At 43.1% G+C, this 11,462-nt stretch overlaps 1 protein-coding gene across 7 annotated transcripts in view; it reads right to left on the bottom strand.

The window, feature by feature from the left end:
- The window catches only part of PHEX (phosphate regulating endopeptidase X-linked), a 218,986-nt gene that overhangs the window by 113,822 nt on the left and 93,702 nt on the right, over positions 1–11,462 (bottom strand). For all 7 annotated transcript variants that reach the window (NM_000444.6, NM_001282754.2, XM_047442159.1 and 4 more), the window contains one exon: positions 3,865–3,966. In NM_000444.6, coding sequence (NP_000435.3) covers positions 3,865–3,966 — 102 coding nt within the window. The remainder of the gene's footprint in view (positions 1–3,864; positions 3,967–11,462) is intronic.

Here is an 11,462-nt window from a genome sequence, read left to right as displayed (position 1 = left end):
AACTCTCACCACCTCACTCAAAGCCTGTGTGTGAGAGTCACATGCCAATAAATTTAGGACCATTCAGCCGACTTCTCTGCACCTGCTGTGGCCAAGGTTAAGGCCACTCCCTCAGAGCATCATTAGGATGCCACCTCCCTGTGAGTCCCATCCTGCTATTTTTCTTTGGATGTGACCTGACAAACTTAGGTCCCAGGGGCAAAGAGCACAAACAAACAAATAATTCCGAAGGGATCCAGCTTTTTGGCTATATAGTCAAATCCAGCTGGAGATAAGCCAAGCTCAGGAAGTTGCTCCTCCTGATCTGACGCTCTCCTGCCAGGTCTCAGTCAGAATCCTGATGTAGCGACCTTGAGATCCTCCTCTTCTACTCTGGCAAGGGCAAATCCTCCAGAAGACACCCCTAAAATCATTATTTTATCACCTGACACTCATTCAACAGCTGTGGTCACCAGAAAAATAACAGATGCCCTGTCCTTTGCTGCTTATTTACAATAAGAGCACATGCTTGCAGGGAACAGAGAATCCTAAACAAAAAGCGGTGCTTATTTCACGATACTAAATTTCCACTTGAAACCTACACCATCAGTTTCACAATACAAAAACTACTCGTGACCTCTTAAGAGATGAGCAGGAAAAGGCAGGGAGACAGAGAAAACAAATTTACCCTTCACGGGAGCAGAGGCATCCTCATTTATCTTTTACAGTGAACACCCCTAGCAAAGAGTACAACAAAGCCACATCCACACACTTCCATTTTGAGACGAGGTCATTGCTACAAAAGCCAAGGTATTAGGCCTCAGAACACTGCAGCTTTCTGTACCTGCCCGGTTCAGGAGGTCGGTCACTATGGAATGCTGAGGTTAACACTTCTTAGGAGGCTCTGTAATTAGCTGCGGTCCAGAGCTTCATGGTGAGGGAAAGAAAAGCTTCTCCCTTTCACAAATCAGAACATTTTTCCAGCTTTCCCAATGGGTTGCCAAGTGACTCAGCATTGGCCCAGTGTGGGCACTATTATTGATGAGAAATCTTCCGCCTGGGTGATACACTGCATACAACACATGCCCAAAGAACAGTGCCAAGTCATACCAGGAAGAGCAGGCGAGTTATTCACCTCCACTTCAAATGCAGGCAAATCCTTTCTTAATGCAGGGGCTACTCAGTATCAGAAAGACAAAACCCTAAGATAGTGGGAGATTTCCATCTAAGATTCAAGGAATTATTAGGCAAAGTCTCTCCTTTCTTGTTGACTATTAAAAGGCAATCAAATCGAGGACAGCAGAGAAAAAGGGCAAGAAATTTTTTTTTTTTCAAAAACAACGCCGGAGTAGAAAGCTGCATAAAAGCTTTCAACGCCGCTAGTGTTCTTTGTGAGTACCACGAGCTCCACCCAGAGGTCATTTTAAGAACTGCATGTTCATTTAATTTTGAGGGGAAAAAAAAAAAAAAAATTTACATCTTCTGGGGTCCAGGAAAGGACCCACTTCAAAGAACTGCTGAAATTGCTTCAACAACATCCATCTTTCTTGCATTTCGTTAAAGAAACTTCTCTGAACTCTGAAATGCAAGATACAGTCGGGGAACTTTGTGAGATCCAATTTGCCTTTGATATTTGTACCTGTCGTGGAACTAGCAGAGTTCCTGGCAGGTTGAACTCAGCTCAAAGAAAGCAGAGTGTTCAAAGAACGCTTTTAGAAGAAAAACTGACAGCTCTCATTGAAATAAAATAGAAGACTGGAGAGCAACTCGGGAGGCAAACAGGAACATGTCTAATATTAGAAGAACTGAGAATAGTCCTGCTTCAAGAAGGACCCATGGGCCACTTGCCGAGAAGGGCCAACTGTGAGGCACCCACTCCCTTATGCCACTCAGAAGAGCTCCCTGAGGCAACTGCAATCCACACTGCTCAAAGAACTGACTGCACTTCCCAGAACATTCCCCTGGCATCCAGCTATTCATAACACATTACCCCCAACACCTATACATACACACACACTCCACCCCACCCTCCACCCTGGTGGTCCTGTACTAATTCATGCAAGCACCTCTTCGGTTCATGTGGGGTCAGGCGAGGATAAAGAGCCCTTAATACACTAAGCGCTCAACTGCCCAGGGCAAGACACATCCTGTTCCACATACCACAAGCTAGCTCAGCAAATAAATGAAGCCTTCATAAAACAACAATATGTTGGTGTTGAAAGTTGTCTACCATCTGGAGAGTTTCCCATCACAGCCCATGTGCTCTTGCCTTCATCAGCCTGTGCCTTATGTGACTGAGGACAGCTTTGACAGATTTTTGAAGGGGAAACAAAAAATCAAACCTACTCTTTGTCTTCCTCCAACGCTGCCTTGCCACCCACCATCCCAGTTCTTCCTTCATTATAAACACTGAACAAACGCCTTTTCACATCTACTGACAAAAGTATCTATGGCAATGTTTATCCATCTCCAGTACCATGAGTTTAAAGCACTAGAAAATATCCTTGCTAAAACTCTACGTGTTCTCATTTCAACAAGGTTAAGCATTCCCAGAACGCTGAGGCAAAAATATTTGTGCTCAGTATGACTCAGTATGACTCCAGGCAGTGTTTCCCCAGACCTGCCTAGTGATAACAATCACCCGGAGACTGGCTAAAGTGACAGCTGTTCAGCCTGCATCCATGATCCATTAACCCAGGCCTTGCTGGGAAGGGGCCCAGAAAGCCAGAGCGTCCAGGCAACCCAGGTGATTGTTATACTCAGGAAGCTTTCAAAAATACCTCTAGATACAAGAAATGCTCAGCTGCAGAGAAGCATCCATCAAGAGTCTAGCAGGTATGCTCCACCCACTTGAATTCCAGCTCTATCAGAATCTCTGGAATTCAAAATGGATCCCATTCATTCATTCATTTATTCAGAGATGGAGTCTCGCTCTGTCACCCAGGCTGGAGTGCAGTGGCACGATCTCAACTCACTGCAACCTCCGCCTCCCAGGCTCAAGCGATTCTCCTGCCTCAGCCTCCCGAGTAGCTGGGACTACAGATGCATGCCACCACACCCGACTAATTTTTTTGTATTTTTAGCAGAGATGGGGTTTTGCCATGTTGGCCAGGCTGATCTCAAACTCCTGACCTCAAGTGATCCACCTGCCTCAGCCTCCCAAAGTCCTGGTATTACAGGCGTGAGCCACTGCACCCAGCCCGTTTTCTACTTTTAAACAGCATGGCTGTCAATACTTTTCTCCTTTGTTCCCTTATCGTGTCGCATAGTATCAGAAAATTTTACAAGGCCCAGCAAGTGTCCACTTCTATTAGGAAATACGTTTGTAGTCCTAAGCAATGGTAGAACACTGGTCTGCAGTTTATCAGTATACTATTTGGGTCATTTGTGCCAAATGATGGGTCGGGAAGGAGATATGCTTGGTTACAGGAAAGGATTTGCCCCAGGACATTTGCATGCATCATGCACAGAGCAGAAGGACATGTGGCCAATATGGGTTTTCTTCGTTTTGGTGTCTTAGGGGCTCTTGTTCCAGCTGCTCCCTGTGACTCCCCACTGCTCTGCATTCTGCCATATCCAGTGATGGTTTATGACACAATTCACCAGGCAGCAAGCCATGTGCCTCTTACAGACAGCAATTAGGAGAAAGGAAAGGCCGAATTACAAGGTATTTGAAAATGCAGTTCGAAAAATTCAGGTATTATTTTCTCTTACCTCCTGGTGAAACAAAAATCTATGTATTCATCCAAAAGCAGACAGCTAACTCTGGGGTCATTCAGAGTCAACAGTTCAGTCAATATAAAAACCAACTACACAGTCAATGTCAAGCATGAACATCCATTAAACCAGAAGTCTTATTTTTTTTTCATCAAAAGGAATCCTTACCTTTTCTTTGGCTTTCCTTTTCGTTCCTGCATCCATCCACTCATTTTCTTTCTCTAGCATGTCAATAAAGGCCCAGCGAACGCCCTCAACCAATTCCTCCATCTACAAGAAAATACCCAAAGAGGGAACGTCAAAGCCAAGAAGCTTCAGTCGAGGTTTTCTGGAACAAAATTGGCTTGCATGAGAAATGACTCTTTACTCAACATGGTAAGTAAGGGGTTCTTTCAGCTTGACTCCATGCTCTGGCAACACTTCTTTTTCCAGGAAAATTCCCTTTTTTCCACCACTAAAAGATAACTAACCAGGCCCAGCATGGTGGCTCATGCCTGTAATCCCAACAATTTGGGAGGCCAAGGCAGGTGGATCACTTGAGCCCAGGAGTTTGAGACCAGCGCGGACAACATGGTGAAACCCCATCTCTACCAAAAATATAAAAATTAGCTGGGCATGGTGGCTCATGCCTGTAATCCCAGGACTTTGGGAGGCTGAGATGAGCAGATCCCTTGAGCCCAGGAGTTCAAGACCAACATGGGCAACATGGCAAAACCCCATCTCTACAAAAAATATAAAAATTAGCTTGGTGTAGAGGCAAATGCCTTAGTCCCAGCTACTCAGGAGGCTGAAGTGAGAGGATTGCTTGAGCCCAAGAGGTGGAGGTTGCAGTGAGCCATGACTGCACCACTGTACTCCAGCCTGGGCAACAAAGCAAGACCCTGTCTCCAAAAAATAAAAAACATTAAAAAAAAAAAACCATTTCTTTCCATGAGAATAATGTGGTGGCCCAGCTATAAAATGAATTATACGGGTATACAGGGATAGGAATTCACCATAGATTATGACAAACCAATAACTTACCTGTCTGTAGCTACTAAACTAGTTCATCCTTATCAAGGTGCCAACTAATTTTAATCATTTAATAAAGGACTGAGAGAGACAGGAAAGGCATGGGCTGTGCATTTCAGATAGGTATTGCAGAAGAAAGTGAACAGTTGAAAGAGATAACTGTTAACACAGAGAAACGGGCAGGGAGACTTAGCACCCCAAAGGACACTTCACCAATATGAATCACACTTATGTCAGGACCCCAGTTCTTTCCAGATTTAGTTCCGTGGGTTAAACTAAATGTTCGGCTCTTCTATATCATCTTCCTACTCTCCTCTCTACTCCTTGGCAGCTCAGAAAAGTCTTGTTATTTCCAATTTAAAAGGGTAGGTATAGGCCAGGGGCAGTGGCTCACCCCTATAATCTCAGGACTTTGGAAGGCCGAAGCAGGAGGATTGCTTGAGGCCAGGAGTTCGAGACCAGCCTGGGCAACACAAGAGGACCTCATCTCTATAAAAACAAAATTATTTTTTAAAGGCCAGGCATGGTGGCGCCTGCACCTGTAGTCCTAGGTACTCAGGAGGCTGAGGCAGGAAGATCACTTGAGCTCAGGAGTTTGAGGCTGCAGTAAGCTATGACTGTACCACTATACTTCAGCCTGGGTGACAGAGTGAGACCTTGTCTCTAAAAAAATAATAATAAAATAAAATGGTAGGTCTAAAGGGGGCTGCTACCGAAAGGTGGACTTCTGAAAGACCTATCGCAAAGCATTTGAACAGTGAGGCCACACCCATAGTGAGGATGTACGTGCCTGGCTTTGCTGCCGGTGTCTGTGGACCAGAAGAGAGGACTGGAGGAAAGGGGCTACTGACACGTCACATTAGAGGCCACCGGCAGCAATGTGAGGAGGCCCTGCCTGTTCATGGATACAAACCCCTCGAAATCCAGTTCTCCTGCAGAGATGCTTTGGCTTTCTCAATGGGACACCCAAGAAAAAAAAAACACTGGGTTTGGCCCCAGAATGAACTTTTTCATTTGAGAGCATGGGGTTGTAAATCAATTGTTAACATTAACTCTAGAAGGAAAGACGTTGAAATGTTTCCTTGGTTCTATAATAAATTGTCAGCATGAAGCTCAAAATAAGTTTTTTCTGTTTAATAAGTTTTCAGCTATGTTTTCAGTTCAATAACAGTTGTGAGGGAACCAGAGCTATAAATCAGTGGGCTGGGTTCCATCATATGTAAATAAGAACAAACAGCAGATGGAAGGGGGTCGGGGGAGCTTCACAGCTATTTCTTCCCAACTTGGTAAAAACATTAAAAGAAGAGAAACTTCAACTTGGGATAAAACACAAACTGCTAGAAGAGCAAAGAGCAAAAGGTCCTTTAAAAATCATTAAGTCGGTGGTTCTTAACTTTGTCTGCCCATTAGAATCTTTGGAGGAACTTTAAAAAATACTGAGAGCTGGCCGCAGGGGCTCATACCTGTAATCCCAGCACTTTGGGAGGCTGAGGCGGGCAGATTACTTGAGGTCAGGAGTTCGAGACCAGCCTGGCCAACATGGTGAAACCCCGTCTCTACTAAAAATACAAAAAATTAGCTGGGTGTAGTAGCAGGCGCCTGTAATCCCAGCTACTCAGGAGGCTGAGGCAGGAGAATCACTGGAACTCGGGAGGCAGAGGTCACAGTGAGCTGAGATTACACCACTGCACTCCAGTCTGGGTGACAGAGCGAGACTCAGTCTCAAAAGAAAAAAAAAATAATACTGACAAAAAATTTCTAAATAAAATAAAAAATCCTGCGTCGTGGGCATCGGGATGCTAGTATCATTGTTCTGAGGTCCAGCCTGGGCATTGGGAGGGTTTAAAAAGTTCCCCAGGTAATTCTAATGTGCAGTCAGGGCTGAGACCCACTAGACCAGGGGAAACCATTTATTTGACAGATAAGGAAATTAAGGGTCAAGGAGTCTATGATCTGCTCAAGCTGACACAGCTAATGAGGACCAGAGCCAGGACCTGACCAAAGAGCTAAAATAACAGTGGAGAGCTCAGAGCCTCTAGTAACAACAGAGGATCCCTCCCAAAATCAGAGAGAAATGCCAGGGAGTGAAAGGGAATCAACTGAGAGATGCATAAGTCACAATTTCAAACAGAAAACCCACATCAGGAGGATGTTAAAATGACAAGGAAATCTCCGGGGACTAGATCTTTTGCCTATCAGCATGCCTAAGTTTTTTTTTTTTTTTTTTTTTTTTGAGAATGAGTCTGACTGTGTCGCCCAGGCTGGAGTGCAGTGGCATGATCTTGGCTCACTGCTCACTGTAACCTCCACCTCCCAGGTTCAAGCGATTCTTCTGCCTCAGCCTCCTAAGTAGCTGGGATCACAGACATGCACCACCATGCCCAGCTAATTTTTGTGTATTTTTAGTAGAGACGGGCTTTCACCATATTGCCCAGGCTAGTCTCGAACCTCCGAGCTCAGGTGATCCACCCGCCTCAGTCTCCCAAAGTGCTGGGATTACAGGCGTGAGCCACCACACCTGGCCCTAAGTCTTTAGGGACTCATCATGTAGCAACATGCATTGGCTGGCCCATCACGTTCACAGAGAAAAAGAAATTATATCTTCCCAAATTAGGGAGGGGCAATGGGGAGGGAAAGAAGTGGGTGGACTCAAAGGAGAGATTTAGAGACCAAACCAATGGAAACAGGTGACTCATTTTATGTGGGAAAGTGAGGAACGTAGAGAGAGTCAGATTCATTCCTAGGCTTCAGAAAGATATTGGCAAACACCGTCATTCAATAAGACTGAGAAAATTGGAAGAAAAAGAGGGATGGGGACAGAAGCCAAACTAGTGGGATGAAGAGTGTGTGGGAAGCGAAGACAGCAAGTCTGGACAAATTAATTGAGTTTGTCTATGAAGGAGAAAAAGCAAAGATAGGAGAGAAGTAGAGGTAGGGTTAAGGGAAGGGTCTGAGGGTTTGGAGTTTGGGTTTCATGCATATGCTTGCTAATGCTGTTCCTACTGTTTTTGTTGTTGTTGAAAAGCTGAGAGATTTGACTATGTTTAAATACCAATAGAAAGGATCCAGCGAAAAGGAAGAGACTGAAAATATGGGACAAAGCAAGCCATGAGTGGTGTCTCAGAGGGCAAAGGAGGTGATGGGATCCAGAGACTATATGGAAGGATTCACCTTAGATATGAGACAGACTTATGAGAGGAGAGAAGATTAAAATGATAGGCAGGCATGCAGAAGAATCTAAAGATTAGATGTAGAAGGTTGAGAGAGTCCTAGTATAAACGTGGGTCTTTTCTCCATGAAATAGGATTGAGACCTTCTGCTTAAAGGGAGGTTTATCTAAAAAATTATATTTCTTCGCACATGGCTATGTGCATCCTGGCAGCATGAACATATTACTAGGAAGAGAAGTACAGTAGTACCCCCTTATTCACGATTTTGCTTTCCATAGTTTCAGTTACCTATGGGCAACTGTGTTCTGAAAATATTAAATGGAAAATTCCAGAAATAAACAATTCACAAATTTTAAATTGCACACCATTCTGATTAGTGTGATGAAGTTTCATGCCATCCCAGCCTGTCTGGCCCGGGATGTGAATCACCCTTCGTTTGTCCAGCATCTCCACCCTGTATATACGCACCCAATAGTCACTTGCTAGCTATCTTGGTTATCAGACAGATCATAGGAAGTACATGCATGAGTTCAATACCATAAGATACTTTGAGAGAAAGAGAGACCACATTCACATAACTTTTATTACAGTATATCATTATAACTGTTCTATTTTATTATTAGTTATTGGTGTTAATCTCTTACTGTGCCTACTTTATAAAATAAACCTTATGATAGTTATATATGCATAGGAAAAACATAGTATATATAGAGTTTAGTACTATCCCCAGTCTCATCCACTGGGCGGGGGTTGGGGGGGGTCTTGGAAAGTATCTGTCTCAGATAAGGGGGGATTACTATATTTACAGATAGGGACAAAGAGGACAATAAAAGGTTCCCTCTCAATACCCTGGCCAGGATGTAGCAATAATAGAAAGCACCCAATAAATAATAAAAAGTTGAATATGTCCAAAGAAAATATTTATTTGGGACAAGGTGTACAAAAGCAAAACATTTTATTAGGTTTTAAAATAAATTATCAAAAAAATAAGCACTCTCCAAGCTAAAAAGATCTTCAGCAAATTTTGGAATTTTTGGATTCCTATGATGAATCTTAAGGTCATTTTGCTCCTGTTCTCTTTGAGGTATTTTTATGGAGTATGTGGCTATTATTAAAATGGGGCTGAGTGTTTCCAGATACTTCTCTCTAAGCAGCTTGGTTTCATAGGACCCTCCCTGTCCAGCATCTCCCAGGCATTAAAATGGCTATCAAATTCATTAAAATTTAATGCATTTTGAAAAGGTTTTCAGGGCGGGTGCAGTGGCTCACGCCTGTAATCCCAGCACTTTGGGAGGCTGAGGCGGTTGGATCACCTGAGGTCTGGAGTTCAAGACCAGCCTGACCAACATGGTGAAACCCCGTCTCTACTAGATACAAAAAAAGAAATTAGCCAGGTGTGGTGGCACATGCCTGTAACCTCAGCAACTTGGGAGGCTGAGACAGGATAATTGCTTGAACCCGCGAGGCGGAGGTTGCAGTGAGCCAAGATCGCGCCACAGCACTCCAGCCTGGGCGACAGAGCAAGATTCCGTCTCTAAATAAATAAATAAGAAAAGGTTTTCAAAGCTCTTTGTCTGTAACCCATTGATTGGCATTCTAAATGAAAATAAAAAGAGGCAAAAACATTTCAGCCCACTGCCAGAGTGAAAAATGACAAATAGTTTATTCACATGCCAGTTCCTCCCTCCTCTGCCTTTTCTTCCACCTCCTCCCCTGCCCCCACCACCTCTGTCTTCCCTGAATCCACACTTCGGTAACTCACTCTTTGTGGCCCTCTCACATTTGTCAAAACGCGGGTAAATCACTTTTTTTTTCCCATGAGCCTCAGCTGCTCTTTGCCCTTGTCTTCTCTGGCACCTCCACTCCCCACACCATCCCCCACCTCAGGTTCTCAATTTTTTTTTTTTTGGCAGACTTTACAGATTTATTGTATAACATTTTCTGTGAAATGGTGTTGAACTACCCCAGCAGACTTCAAGAACAAGGAAAATCTTTGAAGGTGATTAATTTCATTGGTTGACATGTCAATGCAAATAAGAGAAATAATTATTTTAGCATGCTGGAACTAGGAAGATAAATCACTGAACACTTCTGATTTTTATCTTTAGACTACTCTACAGCATCACATAATAACATTGCCTTCAGTCAAGTCAAAAACCTGCTGTAATTTTAAAATAAGAAAAAAATAGAGAAATAGTATTTCTTCACCAAACTTGGACCTCACACCTCAACCAGGCAGCATATAACATTAATAGAAATCCCTTAAAGTGGAAGTCTTAAGGTGAAGTTATCCATAGGAAATATTTATTTAGAGCCAGTCAAAGGTCAAAATATAACATATAAAAATTAACTCAAGTGTTATTTTGGTAAAATCTGCCATATTCAGGGTAAGAGCCCTCTAGGCAAAGCAACGTTTTGTTAAATATCTATTTATTTCAGGGGCAGGGCGCAATGGCTCCCACCTGTAATCCCAGCACTTTGGGAGGCCGAGGTGGGCGAATCACCTGAGGTCAGGAGCTCAAGACCAGCCTGGCCAACATGGTGAAACCCTGTCTCTACTAAAAATACAAAAATTAGCCAGGCATGGTGGCGGGCAACTGTAATCTCAGCTACTCGAGAGGCTGAGGCACAAGAATCGCTTGAACCCGGGAGGTGGAGGGTGCAGTGAGCTGAGATCACCCCACTGCACTCGAGCCTGGGTGACAGAGCAAGACTCTGTCTCAAAAAAAAAAAAAAAAAAAAAAAAACAACTATTTCAGATTTTATGGATCCACACTATAAAAATACAGTTCATTTGGTTGATCTATGGGCAGTTCTTAGTTCTCTTCCTCAACCAGTGTTATCTAAAAATAGGTTCTTCCTTTTTCATTCTTTGCACCCCAGGATTTTGCCCATAGAGTTCTACATCAGACACCAGACATTGGTGAGTCACATATGCATAGGCACTTGTTACCCTTCAATCCAGGGCTTTACTTTAATGAGATGCTCCTATCTTAGCAAATTATAAATTATCTCTCCTGCTCCTCTTGCCCTCTCCTTACCCTTCCTCCCATCACATAGACATAAGAATTCTGTACTTTGCATAAATGAGTCATGATGGTTCTATTAATACATTTGAAGGGACATATGCCAACATTGCTTTAAGGAGGGATTAGTTTGCCCCATGATCGGTTGTAGTTTTCTTCAAAGCTTTGTCCCTGATAATAAAGAAATCCCACAAGGCAACTCAAATCCTATCTCATACCCATGAATCCCAAACACTTAAACCCACACTTTCAATTCCCTCTCTGAGTTCCTGTGAGGCTTAAAATCAGAATAATACATAGGTGTGTGTTTAATTGTTGTCTTTTCATTTATATTTATTTGGTCTCCCTAACAAGACCCATAAGCTTTGAGAACAGGAACCATGATTTAGATCAAATGAGATCATGAATATGTAAGCAAACAAAAAAGTATTCTGCTAATTTAAAATTTTGTTAGTTTTATGATTTCATATCTCATGTGATATGATTTTTCACGAGTCCATATCTCACATTCATACCTAATACTAAAATATAGCAGATGCTCAGTAAATACAAGCTGATC

This window comes from Homo sapiens, chromosome X (genome assembly GCF_000001405.40).
Source record: "Homo sapiens chromosome X, GRCh38.p14 Primary Assembly".
NCBI lineage: Eukaryota > Metazoa > Chordata > Mammalia > Primates > Hominidae > Homo > Homo sapiens.
Note: the sequence above shows the minus strand (reverse complement) of the source record. Positions and strands in the feature narration are given on the sequence as shown.